Genomic DNA, 21,478 nt, shown 5'->3' with positions numbered 1-21,478 from the left:
GTTTTTCAGAGCCAGAGACCATTTGGCGTCTGTTTGGCTTTGCCAATAGTACTTAGCACAGTACTAGATACACAATAGACAGTTAATTAATATGCATTGACTAACCAAAACCGCAAAATCTTAATCAAAATACTGTCATGAATGGGAAATGTGCTGCCTACAGCAATTATCTGTGATTTCTAATCAATGTAATCCTGTAACATGGCACCGAGGCTGGGAAGAGAATTTACTTTTGTTTTTCCCCCCACTGTTTATCATACACTGAGTCTGACCAAAGGAAAATGATCTTATCTCAGAAAATATTTTCCATTCACTAAGATTATCTGGATTATCTGTTACCAACACAAGGAATGGATCACAATTCATCAATGCCCTTGGAACACTTGGTGATAAGGGCTCAAATATAAAGTGCATTGTCTTTTGTTTGTCCTCCCCTCTGGGCTCATTTTATTTTATGGCCCTGGTATTTAAGTGAAACAACACATCTAGCTAGTCTAGGAAATGAGACATGACTTTCTCTTTAATAAGGAATCCAGGAAATGTGGGTTGTTATTACCCAATCTTAATAACCAGCCTCTAAATAAATAGAGATGTCAGAGAATAATGCTGCCAAGGCAGAAGGTTGGGAAGATATAGATAGTTAAAAAAAAACACACACATATATTTACACACACATACACCATGGGATACTATGCAGCCAAAAAAAGGATGAGTTCATGTCCTTTGCAGGGACATGGATGAAGCTGGAAACCATCATTCTCGGCAAACTATCATAAGATCAGAAAACCAAACACCACATGTTCTCACTCATAAGTGGGAGTTGAACAATGAGAACACATGGACACAGGGAGGGGAACATCACACACCAGGGCCTATGGGGGGTGGGGGGCTAGGGGAGGGATAACATTAGGAGAAATACCTAAAGTAGGTGACGGGTTGATGGGTGCAGCAAACCACCATGGCACATGTATACCTATGTAACAAAACTGCATGTTCTGCACATGTAACCCAGAACTTAAAGTATAATAATAATAAAAAAACATACATTTCCACTTCACAATTATCATAGGTTAAAAGCTGATATACTTTTTGATCTGCAGATTAAAACAATCTTTAAAGGTTATTAGTTCTGAATGAAAACTAAGCCTGAAATGTATTGGAATGACAGTACTCCATTTGTCCTATTTGCTAACAGTAGTAAATATTTTACTTTGTCAGTAATATATGTAAGCAGTGTTACCTTTGTACAAGATGGTTTGTCAATAAGACTCACATGGGTGACTCGCTTCTTACGAAGTCTTGTGACAGGCCTGGCTGATCTCACATGCCCATTCCTGGGCCCCTCTCTAAGACTCTTTTTGGGGGAAATTCCATCCTCATCAGAGCGATGGTAGGTTTACCAAGAACAGCTGATGTCCTCAGATGAGTTTCCTCTTGTGAAGAAGCCAGATATGAGTGAGAGCTGTACACTTCAGGCTCTTTTTGCTTCATTGGGAGCTTGTCCCAGCTGACAGTCTGCCCTAATCATTCTGTGCAAGCTTTATATTTGCAGCTGATTAAAAACTCACCTTACAAGATCCAAAGGTTGGTATTTATACCACACGCCCCAGGAGGCCCAGCACTCATAGAGTAGATGTCGGTGGTTTTCTGCTCCATGGGTTCGAATGGAGTTTTTACTTCTATAACTTCCCTGGGATAAAAACACCACTGCCAGTGAGGTAGTACTCACAAAAGTCACAAGGAAATGCTGATGGTAATGTAAGTGTCTTACAGCAGGTGTTGTGATAGGAGTGGTATGAGAAAGAAATGAATCCTCTCTATTAAAGGGCAGGCAGTTTGATGAGTTATTCTGGACATTGTCTTGCTACTGCTGATATCTAGTAAAATGCACGTGCTTGCTATAATCAGGAAGGTTTGAACTGAGTTCAAATTCAATTCTGCTACTTTTCAGCTAGAAGATCCTGGGCAAGTTCCCTAAATGCTCTGAGCTTTGGTTTCCTAATCCATAGTGGAACTAATATTTGTCCCATTTGGTTTCTTATGTGGTTTGAATGAATAAAGTGTCTGGCCCAGGGGCCATGCCCAAGGCTTATTAGTTCTCTTCCCTACTTCTTTTTATTTATTTATTTGTTTATTTTTTGAGACTGGGTTTCACTCTGTTGCCCAGGCTGGAGTGCAGTGGCGCAATCTCAGCTCACTGCAACCTCCGACTCCCAGGCTCAAGCAATCCTCCCACCTCAGCCTCCCAAGTAGCTGGGACCATAGGCATGTGCCACCATGCACGGCTAACTTTTGTATTTTTTGTAGAGATGGGGTTTTGCCATATTGCCCAGGCTAGTCTCGAATTCCTAGACTCAAGCGATCTGTCCCCCTCGGCCTCCCAATGTGCTGGGATTACAGGTGTGAGCCACTGTGCCTGGCCTCTCTTCCCACTTCTTTCAAGATAGGATAGTTGGTAAACAGCCATAGTTGTAACCTTGTCACAATGTTATCGACAAGAAAATTCTAGAATGTAAAAGCTGGAAGTCACTTCAGAATTCTTGTAATTCAAATTTAATTCAACCTCCTCATTGAAGAAGTGAGGAGACAAAGGGCCAGAGAAGTGCATGTTTTTCTGAGGTTAGTTTGTGGCAATGATAGTTTCACAAAGAGAAACGGTACTTTCTGGAGGCAAGCTAATTATTCATATTAAGTGGAGAAGCCCTTTCTTATTTATTTATTTATTTATTTTTGCTAGAGACAATGTCTCAATATGTTGCCCAGGCTGGTCTCGAACTCCTGAACTCAAGCAATACTTCCACCTTGGCCTCCCAAAGTGCTGGGGTTACAGGCCTGAGCCACCACACCTGATAAGAAGTCCTTTCTTAATGGAAAGAACACAGGGCTAGGAGAAAGAAACTCAGGTGAGTCTCAGATCAACCACCAACTCATTGTGTGACTTAAGGAGGTTTCACCTTTCTCTAAACCTCTATCTAAATCTTTAACGTGAAACAAGAGCAGCAATATCTGACCTTCTGCCTTTTTGCCTCTGAGGTTAAATAATATAATCAAGTTAAACTGAGAGTAAAAAGTCAGAAAAGCAATGATGCAATGATTGCTGCTGCTATTACCAATTTGGAACTTCTCATAGAATACAGGGCTTTACTGAGATAGGAAAGTCATTGTGAAAGGCATGAGTCACTCTGTGGGGCTTTGTAGCTGCATCTCCTCAGACACTCCCATGCCCACCCACCCACTCCCCTGCACAGACGCTTCTGCCACTTACCATATCAGACACAGCCCATACCATGAGCTGGGGCTGAGAGCAGGGAGGATGCAGTTCTCACAAAACCCTTTTCTGGGCAATGCCAACTAACAATGACATGATGAAGCCACATGATGTTTTGGGGAACAGTATGTCTTTAGAGTTCAGAAACACCTGCGTATGGCTCTAGCAAACCTTTGTGTCAAAATGTTTGCTTCTGTCATAGTAAATGGAGCATTCCAAACACATTTCCTGGCAGTCTAAACAGAGTTTCAGATGGCAGCTTCTGGTTTTCTTAATAAATAAAGTTCTGAAAAATCTACCTCATCTTTTGCACCCTCTTAGTGTTTAAAATTAAGAGAAGTACCACTGTAAGCCAAAAAAAAGTATGTTTTGGAAAGACTTGCCATTTACGGAGAGTTGGAACCGTCTTCCAAAGTCTATTGACAAATTATTACCATTGTTTCCAACAGGCTGTACTGAACATCAGCTAACAGTTGCTGCACATTGGCTACTTTGTGAGGTCCCAGAGGACAGAGGCTATGACATTTATCTTTGTATTCTCTGTGCCATATAGTGACCACAGTAGGGGTGCCACACCATGAAAATGACAATAATTTCTCAATAATCATGAGGGATTATGTTCCTAAAAACCCAGGTGTAGGGGAATTCTGGATTAAATAATTCTGTGGAAAGTAGAGCTGGGGTAATCAGTTACACTTGCGAAAGTAATTTATATGATGGAGACTATGTAGGAAATAGAGTCACAGTATTTATACATCTTAGGTGAACAATGATGAGTACAACATTATTAATTTTTATTTGTCACCCGTTGGTTACCAGAGACTTTTCAAGATGGCTTCCTCCCACTCTTTTAAGCAATAGCTATACATTTATTTGTTGCAAAGACTATATATTTCAAGAACATTCTTCTTGTGGATTTGGTGCCTCATGCAAATTGTCAATGCCTTTTTAATTTTAAGACTTAAAGTCTCTAAGCCATTCCTATGAATTCATGCTGCATGACTATTGATTTAAGTATTCTCGCAATTACATGAAAAGATATATAGAAATAAGTCTATGCTGAGGAAGAGATATAACAATTGAAGTAGACCCTCCCTAATTACCCATTGAACAAATTAAATTCATTCTGAGCAAATGTCAACAAATTCAATTATTGACTATCTCTAGAAGCTGACTTTAGTAACAAACGATTGAAAGAAAGATAAAGATTAAAGACAGCACAATACCTCATGCAGGGGAAACGCAGCTTCATAGGAGCCATTGGTAAGCAAACGATTCAGACCTAAAACAGCAAATAAGTCCATTTGAATTAATACAGAGTTTGAATACTCACAATGTTCAAAACAAATATAAGTGTGGTGCTTTTTGGAGGAAACAATCTAGGCTATCAACCCTCTTAGGGGCACCAAGAGTTAGAAAAAAAGCTCTGCTGCCGTGAAATTGGGATCAAGGGCTGGGAAATTCACTAAAAAAATTAAAATATTTGACCGTCAAATAAAGATCGAATCTATTCAAAGTTTATAATGTGATGACTTGATATGCATATACATTATGTAATGATTACCACAATCACATTAATTAACACATCTATCTCCACCCATGCTGTACATTAGATCCCCAGAACTCATTCATTTTATAAATGAAACTTTATACTCTTTGATCAACACCTCCCCATGTTCCCCATCCCCAGGGCCTGGCAACCACTATTCTACTCTCTGTTTCTAAGAGTTTGGCTTTTTAAGATTCTACACATAAGTGAGATCATGCAGTATTTGTCTTTCTGTGTCTGGTTTATTTCACCTAGCATGATGCCTTCCAAGTTCATCCATGTTGCAAATGGCAGGATTTTCTTCTTTTTTATGGTTGAACAATATTCCATTGTATATATGTACCACAATTCCTTTATCCATTCTTCCATCAGGGGACACTTGGGTTGTTTTCATATCTTGGCTATTGTAAATAATGCTGCAATGAACATGGACGTGCAGATATCTCTTCAAGATACTGATTTCAATTCCTTGGGATATGTACCCAAAAGTAGGATTGCTGTATCATACGGTAGTTCATTTTTTATTTTTTAAAGAACCTCTATATTGTTTTTCATCACAGCTGAACCAATTTACATTCCTACTAACAGCGCACAAGTGTTTCCTTTTCTCCACACACTTGCCAACACTTACCACTTTTTGATAAGAGCCATTCTAACGGGTGTGAGATGATACTTCACCGTGGTTTTGATTTGCATATCTCTGATGATTAGTGATATTGAGCACCTTTTCATATACCTGTTGGCCATTTGTGTGTTTTATATGGAAAAATGTCTATTCAGTTTCTCTGCCCATTTTAACTTTTAACATTTTTTTCCTTCTAACTTTTATTTTAGGTTCAGGGAGTACACGTGCAGGTTTGTGACATGGGTAAATTGTGTGTTGGGGGATTTGGTGTAATTATTATGTCACCCAGGTAATGAGCATAGTACTGACAGGTAGTTTTCCAATCCTCATCCTCCTCTCACCCTCCACCCTCAAGTAGGCCCCAGTGTCTCCTGTTCCCTTCTTTGTCCATGTGTACTCAATGTTTAACTCCCACTTATAAGTGAGAACATGTGGTGTTTGGTTTTTCTATTACTGCATTAATTCACCTAGGATAATGGCCTTCAGCTCCCTGGAATTACACCAGGAGCTCTTCTATTTTCATTCAGAAGCTTCATTATGGACAAACCTAATGCCTCTGCATTGGACTAGTGGTATGACTTTGGAAAAGTTCTCTTGTCCTCAGGACTCAATTTCCTCATCCATAAAATGGGAAGGGATGCGCAGATCTTTTTAAAAACAGCTTTACTGAGGTATAACAATCATACAATAGACAGCATAAGTTGTTTAATTAGATGTTTCGACATAAGTATATACTCATAAGACCATCAGTACGACTAAGAATCTAAACATATCCATTGCCTCCAAAGTTTTATCATGCCACATTCTAATCTGCCACCCTTCCCCGTGCTATCTCCAGGGCAAACACTGATCTGCTTTCTGTCACTATCAATTAGTTTGAAATTTCCAGAGTTTTATATAAATGGAATCATATAACATTTACTCTTTTTCATCACTCAACATAATTTGAGATTCATTCATGTTGTTGCAAATATCAGTAGCTCATTTCTTTTTATTGCTGAGTAGTATTCCATCACATGTAATAATTTGTTTATCTATTCTCCTGATGATAGACATTTGGGTCCTTTATAGTTTGGGGGCTATTACAAATTAAGCTGTTATGAACATCCATATACAAAACTTTGCATCAATATATGCTTTAACTTTCTTAGCAAATACCTAGAAGTGATTCCACTAGATCATATAGTAGATGAACATTTAACTTTTTGAAAAACTGCCACACTGTTTTCTTAAGTGGTTGTACAATTTTACATTTCCATCAGCAGCATATGAGAGTTCAAGGTCCTCCACATGGTATGGTCAGTCTTTTAAATTTTAGCCACTCTCATGGGTGTGTTGTGATATCTCATCGTGTTTAATTCTCATTTTTTAATGAATAATATTTAAAATCATCTTGTGTGCTGTTTGCCATCTGTATATCTTCTCTTGTGAAATGTCTGTTCATATCTTATGCTCAATAAGATTTTTGGATTCACTGAGTTTTGAGTGTTCTTTATGTATTCTAGAGGCAAGATATAGATGTCCTTTACTAGCCATATTTTTTGAAAACTTTTTTCTCCTAATGTGTGGCTTCTCTTATCATTCTATTTATGTATTTAAGTTTTGGGATACATGTGCAGATGTGCAGGTTTGTTACATAGGTATACGTGTGCCATGGTGGTTTGCTGCTCCTATTGACCTGTCCTCTAACTTCCATCCCCTCACCCTCCTACTCCCCAACAGGCCTATTGTGTGTTGTTTCCATCCCTGTGTCCATAGGTTCTCATTGTTCAATTCCTGCTTATGAGTGAGGGCATGCAGTGTTTGGTTTTCTGTTCCTGTCTTAGTTTGCTGAGGATGATGGTATCCAGCTTCATACATGTCCCTGCATAGGACATAATCTCATTCCTTTTTATGGATGTATAATATTCCATAGTGGATATGTACCACATTTTCTTTATCCACTCTATCATTGATGGGCATTTGAGTAGGTTCCACAACTTTGCTATTGTGAACAGTGCTGCAGTAAACATATGTGTGCATGTGTCTTTACAGTAGAATGCTTTATATTCCTTTAGGTATACACCCAGTAATGGGATTGCTGGGTCAAATGGTATTTCTGGTTCTAGATACTTGAGGAATCCCCACACTGTCTTCCACAATGGCTGGGGTAATTTACACTCCCAAGAACAGTGTAAAAGTGTTCCTATTTCTCCACAGCCTCACCAGCATCTATTGTTTCTTGACTTTTAAATAATCGCCATTCTGACTGGTGTTAGATGGTATCTCATTACGGTTTTGATTTGCATTTCTCTAATAATCAGTGATGTTGAGCTTTCTTCATATGTTTGTTGGCTGCATGTATGTCTTCTTTTGAGAAGTCTCTGTTTATATCCTTTGCCCACTTTTTCATGGGGTTGTTTTTTCTCTTGTAAATTTCTTTAAGTTGCTTGTAAATTCTGGATATTCGATTTCTGTCAGATGGCTAGATTGCAAAAAATTTCTCCCGCTCTGTAGATTGTCTGTTCACTCTGATGATAGTTTCTTTTGCTGTGCAGAAGCTCTTTAGTTTAATTAGAACTCATTTGTCAGTTTTGGCTTTTCTTGCAATTGCTTTTGGCGTTTTTGTCATGAAGACTTTGCCCATGCCTATGTCCTGAATGGTATTGCCTAGGTTTTCTTCTAGGGTTTTTATGGTTTGGGGTTTTACATTTAAGTCTTTAATCCATCTTGAGTTAATTTTTATTATTATTATTATTATACTTTAAGTTTTAGGGTACATGTGCACATTGTGCAGGTCAGTTACATATATATACATGTGACATGCTGGTGTGCTGCACCCACTAGCTCGTCATCTAGCATTAGGTGTATCTCCCAATGCTATCCCTCCCCCCTTCCCCCACCCCACAACAGTCCCCAGAGTGTGATGTTCCCCTTCCTGAGTCCATGTGTTCTCATTGTTCAATTCCCACCTATGAGTGAGAATATGCGGTGTTTGGTTTTTTGTTCTTGCGATAGTTTACTGAGAATGATGATTTCCAATTTCATTCATGTCCCTACAAAGGACATGAACTCATCATTTTTTATGGCTGCATAGTATTCCATGGTGTATATGTGCCACATTTTCTTAACCCAGTCTACCACTGTTGGACATTTAGGTTGGTTCCAAGTCTTTGCTATTGTGAATAGTGCCGCAATAAACATACGTGTGCATGTGTCTTATAGCAGCATGATTTATAGTCCTTTGGGTATATACCCAGTAATGGGATGGCTGGGTCAAATGGTATTTCTAGTTCTAGATCCCTGAGGAATCGCCACACTGACTTCCACAAGGGTTGAACTAGTTTACAGTCCCACCAACAGTGTAAAAGTGTTCCTATTTCTCCACATCCTCTCCAGCACCTGTTGTTTCCTGACTTTTTAATGATTGCCATTCTAACTGGTGTGAGATGATATCTCATTGTGGTTTTGATTTGCATTTCTCTGATGGCCAGTGATGGTGAGCATTTTTTCATGTGTTTTTTGGCTGCATAAATGTCTTCTTTTGAGAAGTGTCTGTTCATGTCCTTCACCCACTTTTTGATGGGGTTGTTTGTTTTTTCCTTGTAAATTTGTTTGAGTTCATTGTAGATTCTGGATATTAGCCCTCTGTCAGATGAGTAGGTTGAGAAAATTTTCTCCCACTTTGTGGGTTGCCTGTTCACTCTGATGGTAGTTTCTTTTGCTGTGCAGAAGCTCTTTAGTTTAATTAGATCCCATTTTTTAATTGTGGCTTTTGTTGCCATTGCTTTGAGTTAATTTTTGTATAAGACGTAAGCAAGCGGTCCAGTTTCAATTTTCTGCATATGGCTAGCCCGTTTTCCCAGCACCATTTATTGAATAGGAGATCCTTTCCCCATTGCTTGTTTCTGTCAGGTTTGCTGAAGATCGGATGGTTGTAGATGTGTGGTGTTATTTCTGAGGTCTCTGTTCTGTTCCATTGGTCTATGTGTCTGTTTTGGTACCATTATCATGCTGTTTTGGTTACTGCAGCCTTGTAGTATAGTTTGAAGTCAGGTAGCATGATGCCTCCAGCTTGTTCTTTTTGGTTACGATTGTCTTGGCTGTATGCGGTCTTCTTTGATTCCATATGAAATTTAAAGTAGCTTTTTCTAATTCTGTGAAGAATGTCAATGGTAGTTTGATGGGAATAGCATTGAATCTATAAATTACTTTGGGCAGTATGAACATTTTTACAATATTGATTTTTCCTGTCCATGAGGATGGAATGTTTTTCCATTTGTTTGTGTCCTCTCTGATTTCCTTGAGCAGTGGTTTGTAGTTATCCTTGAAGAAGTCTTTCACATCCCTTGTTAGCTGTATTCCTAGGCATTTTATTCTCTTTGTAGTGATTGTGAGTGGGAATTAATTCATGATTTGGCTCTCTGCTTGTCTACTGTTGATGTAAAGGAATGCCTGTGATTTTTTCACATTCATTTTGTATCCTGAGACTTTGCTGAAGTTGCTTGTCAGCTTAAGGAAATTTTTGGCTGAGATCATGGAGTTTTCTATATATACAATCATGTCATCTGCAAACAGAGAGAGTTTGACTTCTACTCTTCCTATTTGAATACACTTTATTTCTTTCTCTTGCCTGATTGTCCTGGCCAGAACTTCCAATACTATGATGAGTAAGAGTGGTGAGAGAGGGCATCCTTGTCTTGTACTGGTTTTCAAAGGGAATGTTTCCAGCTTTTGCCCATTCAATATAATATTGGCTGTGGGTTTGTCATAGTTTTTATTATTTTGAGATATGTTCAATCGACACCTAGTTTATTGAGAGTTTTTAGCATGAAGGGCTGTTGAATTTTATTGAAGGCCTTTTCTGCATCTATTGAGATAATCACGTGCTTTTTGTCTTTGGTTCCGTTTATGTGAGGGATTACATTTATTGATTTATGTATGTTGAACCAGCCTTGCATCCCAGGTGTGAAGCTGACTTGATTGTGGTGGCTAAGCTTTTTGATGTGCTGCTGTATTCGGTTTGCCAGTATTTTATTGAGGATTTTCGCATCGATATTCATCAGGAATATTGGCCTGAAATTCTCTATTTTTTGTTGTGTCTCTGCTAGGTTTTGGTATCAGGATGATCTGGCCTCATAAAATGAGTTAGGGAGGAGTCCCTCTTTTTCTATTGTTTGGAATAGTTTCAGAAGGAATGGTACCAGCTTCTCTTTGTACCTCTGGTAGAATTCGGCTGTGAACCTGTCTGGTCCTGGGCTTTTTTTGGTGGGTAGGCTACTAATTACTGCCTCAATTTCAGAACTTGTTACTGGTCTATTCAGGGATTCAACTTCTTCCTGGTTGAGCCTTGGGAGAGTGTCTGCGTCCAGGAATTTATCCATTTCTTCTAGATTTTCTAGTTTATTTGCATAGAGGTGTTAGTAGTTTGTATTTCTGTGAGGTCAGTGGTGATCTCCCCTTTATCATTTTTTATGGGATTCTTCTCTCTTTTCTTCTTTATTAGTCTAGCTAGTGGTATTTCTTATTTTTTTCAAAAAAACAGTTCCTGGTTTTGGAGGGTTTTTGTGTCTCTATCTCCTTCAATTTTGCTCTGATCTTAGTTATTGCTTGTCTCCTGCTAGCTTTTGGATTAGTTTGCTCTTGCCTCTCTAGCTCTTTTAATTGTGATGTTAGTGTATCAATTTGAGATCTTTCTAGCTTTCTGATGTGGGCAATTTAGTGCTATACATTTCCCTCTTAACACTGCTTTAGCTGTATCCCAGAGATTCTGGTATGTTGTCTCTTTGTTCTCATTGGTTTCAAAGAACTTCTTTATTTCTGCCTTAATTTCATTATTTAACCAGGAGTCATTCAGGAGCGAGTTGTTCAATTTCCATGTAATTGTGTGGTTTTTAATAAGTTTCTTAATCCTGAGTTCTAATTTGATTGCACTGTAGTCTGAGAGACTGTTTGTTATCATTTCAGTTTTTTTGCATTTGCTGAGGAGTGTTTTACTTCCAATTATGTGGTCAATTTTAGAATAAGTGCCATGTAGCACTGAGAATGTATATTCTATTGATTTGGGGTGGAGAGTTCTGTAGATGTCTATTAGGTCCACTTGATCCAGAGCTGAGTTCAAGTCCTGAATATCCTTGTTAATTTTCTGCCTTGTTGATCTGTCTAATATTGATGGTGGAGTGTTAAAGTCTCCCACTATTATTGTATGGGAGTCTAAGTCTCTTTGTAGGTCTCTAAGAACTTGTTTTATGAATCTGGGTGCTTCTGTATTGGGTGCATATAAATTTAGAATAGTTAGCTCTTTTTTTTTTTTTTTAGACGGAGACTTGCTCTTTCACGAGGTTGGAGTTCAGTGGTGTGATCTAGGCTCACTGCAATCTCTGTCTCCCGGGCTCAAGCAATTCTCCTGCCTCAGCCTCCCGAGTAGCTGGGATTACAGGGACATGCCACCATACCCAGCTAATTTTTGTATTTTTAGTAGAGATGGGGTTTCACCATGTTGGCCAGGATGGTCTTGATTTCCTGACCTCGTGATCCACCCACCTCATCCTCCCAAAGTGCTGGGATTATAGGTTTGAGCCACCATGCCCAGCCAACAGTTAGTTCTTCTTGTTGAATTGTTCTCTTTATCATTATTTAATGACCTTGTCTTTTTTGATCTTCATTGGTTTAAAGTCTGTTTTGTCAGAGATGAGGTTTGCAACCCCTGCATTTTTTTTGCTTTCCATTTGCTTGGTAAATTTTCCTCCATCCTTTATTTTGAGCCTATGGGGGTCTTTGCACATGAGATGGGTCTCCTGAATACAGCACACCAATGGGTCTTTAGTCTTTATCCAATTTCCTGTCTGTCTTTTAATTGGGGCATTTTGCCCATTTACATGTAAGGTTAGTATTGTTATGTGTGAATTCGATCCTGTCATCATGATGCTATCTGGTTATTTTGCATACTAGTTGATGCAGTTTCTTCATAGTGTCATTGGTCTTTATATTTTGGTGTATTTTTGCAGTGGCTAGTACCAGTTTTTCCTTTGCATATTTAGTGCTTCTTTCAGGAGCTCTTGCAAGGCCAGCGTGGGGGTAACAAAATCCCTCAGCATTTGCTTGTCTGGAAAGGATTTTATTTCTCTTTCGCTTATGATGCTTAGTTTGGCTGGATATAAAATTCTGTGTTGAAAATTATTTTCTTTAAGAATGTTGAATACTGGCCCCCAATCTCTTCTGACTTGTGGAGTTTCTGCTGAGAGGTGCATTGTTAGTCTGATGGGCTTTTCTTTGCAGGTGACCTGACCTTCCTCTCTGGCTGCCCTTAACACTTTTTCCTTAATTTTGGCCTTGGACAATCTGATGATTATGTTTCTTGGGGTTGATCTTCTTGTGGAGTACTTTAGTGGTGTTCTCTGTATTTTCTGAATTTGCATATTGGCCTGTCTTCCTAGGTTAGGGAAATTCTCCTGGATAATATCCTGAAGTTTGTTTTCCAGTTTGTTTCCATTCTTCACGTCTGCTTCAGGTGGTACTCCAATCAATTGTAGGTTTGGTCTTTTTATGAAGTCCCATATTTCTTGGAGGTTTTGTTTGTTCCTTTTTATTCTTTTTTCTCTAATCTTGTCTGCATGCCTTATTTCAGTGAGGTGGTCTTCAAACTCTGATATCCTTTCTTCCTCTTGGTCAATTCAGCTACTGATACTTGTGTATGCTTCACAAAGTTCTTGTGCTGTGTTTTTCAGCTCCATCGGGTCATTTATGTTCCCCTCTAAACTCTCTCTAGTTATCAGCTCCTGTAACCTTTTTTCAAGGTTCTTAGCTTCTTTGCATTGGGTTAGAACATGCTCCTAGAGCTCAGTGGAGTTTTTTGTTACCCATCTTCTGAAGCCTACTTATGTCAATTTGTCCATCTCATCCTTCACCCAATTATGCCCTTGCCAGAGAGTCATTGCAATCATTTGGAGGGGAAGAGAAACTCTGTCCTTTTGGGTTTTCAGCATTTTTTCATTGATTCTTTCTCATCTTTGTGAGTTTGTCTAGTTTCGATCTTTGAGGCAGCTGACCACTGGATGGGGTTTTTGTGAGGACTTCTTTTGTTATTGATGCTGTTGTTGTTGCTTTCTGTTTGTTTTTCTTTCACTGGTCAGGTCCCTCCTCTGTAGGGCTGCTGTGGTTTGCTGGGGGTTCACTTTAGGCCCTATTTATCTGGTTCGCTCCCGCACCTGGAGATGTCACTCAAGCAGGCTGGAGAAGGCAAAGATGGGTGCCTGCTCCTTCTTCTGGGATCTCTAACCCGGAGGGGCTCCAACCTGATGCCAGTAGGATCACTCCTGTATAGGGTATCTGACAACCCCTGTTGGAAGGTCTTACCTATTTGGGTGACAAGGGAAATGGGACCCATTTAATGAAGCATTTTCACTGTCTCTTGGTGGAGGGAGTGTGCCTTGCTGGGTGGCATTCTGGGCTAAGTCTGCTGGTCTGCAGAGACTGCAGCCACTCCTCCCACTAGGGGATAAGGCCCAGGGAGATCCAGGTTCTGTCCCTGAGTCTCTGGCTGGAGTTATTGGAGTTCCTGTAGGGAAGCCCCACCATATAGGAAGTGAGGAAGGATATGTCAGTGCCTGAAGAGGCGCTCTTGTTGCAGTCTGCCACAGCCAGTGTGTTGAGCTGTGGGGGACCACTCTTGGGGACCAAGCCATCCAGCCTCCCTGGCTCCAGCAGGGGAAAAGCATGGCCTGGAGTTATAGAGATGGATGCCATCCTTTCCCCCACAGAGAGCTTAGCTTATCAGGCAGTTATGAGTCCCAGTGCTGGCTGCTGCCCCTCCCCCAAGGAGCTCAAATGGCTTAGGCAGCAGGCAGCAGCAGCTGTGGCACTGGTCACCCCTCCCCGCAGGAGCTCTGCAGGGTTAGGCAGATTCCAGCTGAGAGGTTGTTGAGAATCTGTGCAGCTCTGGGGTTGGCATTCTAGGTCCCAGTGGCGTGGGTTCCTGAGTGGGATCTTCTAATCCGTGGGTTGCACAGTCCCATGGAAAAAAGCACGGTTTCCCACGCTGGGTACCACACTCACTCACTGCCTCCCTTGGCTGGGGAGTGGGGGCTCCCCTGCCCCGTGTGGCTCTCAGACGGGCTGCCGCACCACACTGCTCTTCCTTCCTCTCTGTGGATCAAGTCTAGCCACCTAGTCAGTTCTGATGAGAAGATACCTTGGTTGCCAATGAAGGATTCACACATTAATGATGGTTCTTTTTGATGGGAGCCTCTGATCACTTCTGTTTCTAGTCAGCCATCTTGGCCCCACCCTTCTTTTCATTCTCTTGAAAACATCATTTGAAAAGGGAAGTTTTAATTTTGAAGTCTAGGTTATCCATTTTTTTCTTCTTTTATGAATTATGCTTTTATTTAAGAAACCCTTGGTTAACCCAAGGTAACAAAGATTTTCTATTTTCTCCTAGAATTTTTATGGTTTTAAATTTTACACTTTGAACTATAATCCATTTGAGTTAACTTTTGTATACGAGTTTTCCTAAATTCATTTTTTTGCATATGGGTTTGAATTCAGTATCATATGTTGAAAAGTCAATTCTTTACCCACTGAATTGACTTCGACCCTTTGTCTCAAGTCAAAGACTTGACTTTTTGTTCTTTTTCAGAGTTGTTTTGGCTATTCTAGGTCCTTTCATTTCCCTATGAATTTTTGAATTCATTTGTCAATTTTCACATATACACACACAAAACACCTTCTGGGAATTTGACTGGATTGTGCTGAATCTATAGATCAATTTGTTAAGACTGACCTCTTAACAATATTGAGTCTTCTGACTCATAAACATAGTATATGTCTCCATTTATTGGGTCTTCTTAAATTTATCTCAGCAATGTTTTGTAGTTTTCAGTGTACAATTCTTAAGTATCTTTTGTTTGATTTATCCTTAAGTATTTAATATTTCATATTTGGGGGCTAATTATAAGTGATTTGGTTTTTAAAATCTCAGTTTCTCACTGTTTGTTGCAGATTGAGAGAAATACAATTGAGTTTTTATATCAATCTCATTTTTTGCAACCTAGCTACATTCACCTATTAGTCCCTTTTAATGGATTCCATTGTGAGTTTCTTTATAGGTGATCATGTCATCTGATAATTAGGACAGTTTTAATTCTTTTTATTTTATTGCACTGGATAGTAAAATGAATACAAGTGGCAAGTGCAGACATACTTGTCCCGTTCATTATCTTGGGAGGAAAATATTCAGTCTTTTATCATTAAGCATAATTTTAACTATAAGCATTTCATAGATGTATTTTATGAGGTTGAGGAAGATAATTTCTATTAGTAGTTTGCTGAGTTTTTATCTGTAATGGATGTTGAACTTTGTGAAATGCTTTTCCCATGTTCATAAATATGAACATATGGTTTTTCTTTTTTAGTTTGCTACTATGGTGAATTATATTGATTGATTTTCATATACTAAGCCAACCTTGCAGTCCAGGATAAATTCTACTTGGTCATGATGTATTACCCTTGTTATACATTGTTAAACTTTATTTGCTAAATTTTCTTTATGTTTGCAGGAGGAAAGACTTTTCTGAGTATTCTCCTCACTGCTCTGTGAATTATGAGGTGTTCCAGTCTTACTGGAAATTCTTTTGGATGGTTCTTTCTCTGGCCTTGGGTATTCTCCGGACATGTATGCACTGATCAGCACTTGCTGAATACTTGAGGGAGACCCTCTACAGATCTTCAAGGTTCTAGCCCTGTGCAGTTCTCTGCTTTCTGGTACTTCCTTCTGTGAACTCTCGCTGCCTTCCGGTACTTCTTTCTGTGAACTCTCGCTGCCTTTGTTTCCCAACTCCTAGCAACAACTTCTCAACTTAGAGAGTCTTTCAGGTCCTGCCTACATTCTCACTTTTCATGGTGCTGTCTAGAAACTATGTCAAGGTGGTAAGATAGGGCCCAGCAGGGCTCATTTCATTTGTTTTCTGTCTCTCAGAGATCCTTGTTTTGGGTTGCCCAATATTCAGTGTCTTGAAAATAGTTGTTTCATACATTTTGTCTGTTTTTTCTTTTGTGATTGTTTCAGGTGGGAGAGTAAATCTTGTGCCTGTTGCTCCATCTTGGCCAGAAGTGGAAGTTTAACATGTTGATCTTTAAAGCTCCTTTCAGATCAAGATTTCTGCTACTTCCTAAAATACACCTCAAAGGAGATTATCATAATTTCTCAAGTGGCTTGAGAGGAATGCTACCTATGCTTTAGATCCTTACCAGAATCTAGAGGTTTAGCCTAACTGGAAAATGGCACATGCACTGATTCACTTTTCATTGATGGAGGATCAATCAATATTTAGATGCTTTTAATCATAGTAACACATTAATATGTTTTAAGATGCTTCACATTAATACTAAATATCTAAGAAAAACATTTGAAATCCAAATATCACAAGGCTTTATAGTTTGTCTAGCGCACCAGAGGCCCTCAATAAATACCTTTGTAATGAATTACTATGTAGAAAGCTTTGATTCCCTGGAGTCTCTATTGGGAATTCTACATATCTCATCAATAACTTTCAAACATCCCAGATGTTAGAAAAAATAGGATTCATAAGGACCTAATAAGAGACTCACATGATAACTTTTTTTTTTTTTGAGACAGAGTCTCACTCTGTTGCCCAGGCTGGAATGCAGTGGTGCGATCTCGGCTCACTGCAACCTCTGCCTCCCGGGTTCAAGCAATTCTCGTGCCTCAGCTTCCCAAGTAGCTGGGATTACAGGTGAGTGCCACCATGCTCAGCTAATTTTTGTATTTTTAGTAGAGATGGAGTTTTACCACGTTGGTCAGGCTGATCTCGAACTCCTGACCTCAACTGATCCACCTGCCTTGGCCTCCCAAAGTGCTGGGATTATAGGCATGAGCCACCGTGCCTGGCCTCAGATGATAACTTTTATAAGTTTATCATAATTTATCAAAGTCCTGCAAAGTGAGAAAGTAGCCAATATTTGAAATCTTTTTCACTTTACTAATTTCTCCTCTAAGCACCAAATTCAAAAATACAAATCAATTTCAAGATTTATTGTATGCACCCACATTGTTAAATAAATCTTTGTTGAGCTATTAAATGGCTCTATTTTGAAAGTGGGTTTCACCAGGTTTGATTTTTACAGTTGAAATAAATTCAGAGTGAAGTTGAAAAATGTACATAGTGGCAGTTTACATTCCACTAAAATATCCTTATGAATCATGTCTACAAATCAGTATTTTCATGTTATTTCTAATCGATGTTGGCTCATGCAAGATGCCACTTTCAGAAAGAGTTTCAGGCAGAAAATAATACTGGATAAACATTAGTTCTATCAAGAAATTAAAATTTCTTCTAACATATTATTTCTTTTATTTACAAAACCAAAGATGATAATGAAATATTGAATCTACAGGCCATTAGTAGTTTTGCTCCATGTTTTTCAGCATAATGCTTGGTTGTGGCTTAATAATTTACTATCTGATTGGTTATTTCTAATTAGATATGATTCCAGTTCATCATTACCAATTTTCTTTTATTATTTTCTTTTTCTTTGTTGTGACAGACTCCTGTTCTGTTGCCCAGGCTGGAGAGCAGTGGCACAATCTCAGCTCACTGCCGCCTTGACCTCCCAGAAGTAATCCTCCCATCTCAGCCTCCTGATGGCTGGGACTATAGGTACTGACCACCACGCCTGGGTAACTTTTTGTATTTTTTGTAGAGATGGGGTTTCACCATTATGCTCAGGCTGGTTTCAGACTCTTGGGCTCAAGCAATCCTCCTGCCTCAGCCTCCCAAAGTTCTGGGATTCCAGGCATGAGCCAATGTGCCTGGCCTATTACCAATTTTCAACACATGGAGGTCTTTGAATAGAAAACTCCTTATTTCATCAAATGAAAGAAACTTTTATAAAGACCCTTTCTGACTAGCAACAATACTACACTTCCTGTGCTTCTTCAGAACATTTAAAAATCACTGTCTCTGTCCTTCTTTTGCTTATAAAAGCATCCCACATTTTGAGACGCAAAATTAGGCACAATAATTTAAAAGCTTTTCAGTTCAGCACGCCTTTATTGAACTCCTACTATATGCCAGGCACTGTGCTAGGCAGTGATGATATAAAGATAAATAAGGCAGTTTATTTACAGTTAAGGATCTTATTATCCAGATGAGCAGCATTCAGCTGCAGATTCTTAATACACTAGTGTCTCATAAAGAGTCGTTTTGAGAGGCCGAGGCAGGCGGATCACAAGATCAGGAGTTTGAGATCAGCCTGGCCAACATAGTGAAACCCCGTCTCCACTAAAAATACAAAAAATTAGCCGGGCATGGTGGCGGGCACCTGTAATCCCAGTTACTCAGGAGGCTGAGGCAGGAGAATCACTTGAACCTGGGAGGCAGAGATTGCAGTGAGCTGAGATCTTGCCATTGCACTCCAGCCTGGGTGACAGTCCGAGACTCCGTCTCAACAAAAAAAAAAGAGTCATAAGTTGTACTGCAAATGATAATACCATTATTAGTGAAGATGCCATTTGGAGTTATTTGCATTTTATGAAGTGATTCAGAACAGCTACTGCAATAATAACTTCACTTTCACTCACTTGCTTTCTAGTATGTTTATGGTACAATGTTAACTGAAAAAAGTTCGTAAAAAGGATGCATAGCACATCCTAAGTTTGTTTCTAAAAACCATATGAATGAATAAGAAATTAAGATATAAAAGTAACTAAGGTAACATTTAAATTATTCAGTACGCAAATGTTATGAGTGGTTCTCTTTATGTGGTAGATTTTCATAATGTTATTGAATGTAGTTCAAGACAACAAAAGAAGAGTTGTATATGACTAACTATCAAATAGACTCCAAAAATAGTTGCCATAGGAATTCAGAAGAGAGAAGAATTCATTCAAGCTGGAATGGTCACAGAGGACTTTATTGAAGGAATGTGTTTCAAGGAAGGATGACTAATGCAGAGAAATGGGAATGTGTTTAACTAAAATCCATCAAAGTTAAGAAAGACCTAAATCAGGTTTGACTTCACCATACCCCCATACATTGACTCTCACAAAACATAATATTCCAGTTGTAATCAGATCTGGACTAGAAAGCTATCTATTTCTCCATGTTATATTTTAATTTATGCAGCTTGGGATCAAAGTAGGTGTTTTTTTTTTTTTTTTTTTGGCAGAGTCATTATGCTAGTGACTCACACCAAGCTTGCATTCAGCTCAACTCTCAAATCTGTTCCTCTTATGATGTTGAGCAACATTTCTCCCACACTGTACCAAGGTAGTTGTTTTGCTGAATTTGACTGTAAGACTTTACCTTAAAAATTATTTTTTTAATTTTTTACAGTGATATTAATGTAAAATTTTATGTACTTCCTTTTCTATTCGAACAAATGTAAATGAATAAAATAAGCATTTGAAAAATCTCAAATCTCATTAATAACCAAATGTATGTTTAAATAACATTTTCACTGAATTAGTAAATATTTTTTAAAAGACTGAAAGGAAAAGAAAATACACATTAGAAATGGTCAACGCAAAATTATTAAATGTCATCTTGCTGGATTTGGCTGAGTGCCAGCTACTGAGTCTTGTCATTTAATGCAACCTTCTAGTTTCACCCTACCCGAAAGCTTGATGAGCAGGTCATCTGGGCTATGCACCAGATATTAACTTATTTCCCCTCAGCTCCAAATGCACCTTCATTGCCTGCTTTGCAATAATGTAACTATTGTAACTATTTCTCCTTTGTCAGCTGATTCAATGTTAAGCTTTGCCAGCAGAAGACACTGGGAGGGACACTGGAGGAGGAAGGGGTTTCTCTTCCTGATACCAGTATGATATCTCAGCAGGCTTCTGTAGCACATACTTCTACAGTACCCAGCTCCTGCAGTGCGTGGTGGCTGGAAACACATGGTACTCCTCAAAGGCAGATTTTCAGTATCCCCTTGGGGGGCTTCACAGAGTAGTGCTGCTGATGTAGCAACTCCCAAAGAATGACTTCCTTGGAGCCACTCGAGGCAGCTTCCCCCAGTACTCCAGAGGGCAGATTTCTAGAGCCCCCAGCAAACTGCACTGCCATGGCTGTACCTCTTCCAGCAGGATCTGCAGCTTAGCATTGTAGCGAGGAGTCTTCTCAGAGGTGGTAGCTGCTCCTAACATCTGCTATTCCTGTATTCTTTAGAGTTATTCTTACCCTTGACTAGCCAACCCTCCATTACTCCAATCCCCTGTCACAGTTAATTATTTATATAAAACTTTCTCTGTTCAATTTACTTGTGCCTTTGTCTCCTGATTAGACCCTGACTGATATAGGTCATTATTAAAACTATTGATAAAAAACTTGCTGGAAAAAGAGATAAGAACAAAGCCACCCAACCCTTCCTGATATATAATAATCTGTTTAATAAGGCAGGAAATGTGTAATATAATATGGACACATTCTCATAAAAATGCCTAAAATATATATGGTAGAGGCTATTTAATGGAGGAGATGACTGGAGAAGTTGCTTTTGTGGGACAGCTCATCTCCGTGCTTACAGCTCCCTCTGCATGGGAACACCCTACCCCTCGATCTTCCCACACTGGTTCCCCAGCATTCAGGTCTCAGTTCAAATTTCAGCTTCTCAGTGAAGCTTGCCCTCATCATCAAATCTCAGCTTGAACTCACTCCCACCTTTTACCAGCCTATCTCTGTATCATCATCCAGTTTAATTTCTTCATGTTATTGTATTTACTTATTGGTTTATTGTCTGCTTTTAATTTCTTGAACACAAGCTCCAGATCAGAACTATGCATATCTCCCCAACATCTAGTTCAGTGCCTGGCACACAACATTTTCTAAAATGAGAGAATTTCTCCATGATCTTAGACAAATGAGACAACATGCTATTTAAAGAAGATATTTAAGGATGCGACGAAGATTTTACACTTGTGAATTATTCATCAAAGGATTAGTTAGGGGTTTTATAAGTGACAAGCATTGCTAGAATTGATACAAACTTAATAAAACCAAGGGAAGAAGTCTGTAATTCCCAAATGCCAAATGTA

General features: G+C 39.1%; 1 protein-coding gene across 17 annotated transcripts in view; it reads right to left on the bottom strand.

Annotated features, from left to right (window-relative positions):
• ANO4 (anoctamin 4) overlaps positions 1-21,478 on the bottom strand; it is a 411,381-nt gene that overhangs the window by 86,997 nt on the left and 302,906 nt on the right. For all 17 annotated transcript variants that reach the window (XM_011537912.3, XM_011537911.3, XM_047428302.1 and 14 more), the window contains 2 exons: positions 4,495-4,550; positions 1,569-1,690 (listed from right to left, as the gene is read on the bottom strand). In XM_011537912.3, the coding sequence (XP_011536214.2) occupies positions 1,569-1,690; positions 4,495-4,550 (178 nt within the window). The remainder of the gene's footprint in view (positions 1-1,568; positions 1,691-4,494; positions 4,551-21,478) is intronic.

Source organism: Homo sapiens, chromosome 12 (genome assembly GCF_000001405.40).
Source record: "Homo sapiens chromosome 12, GRCh38.p14 Primary Assembly".
In the NCBI taxonomy this organism is placed as follows: domain Eukaryota; kingdom Metazoa; phylum Chordata; class Mammalia; order Primates; family Hominidae; genus Homo; species Homo sapiens.
This window is presented reverse-complemented; position numbering and strand designations above follow the sequence as displayed.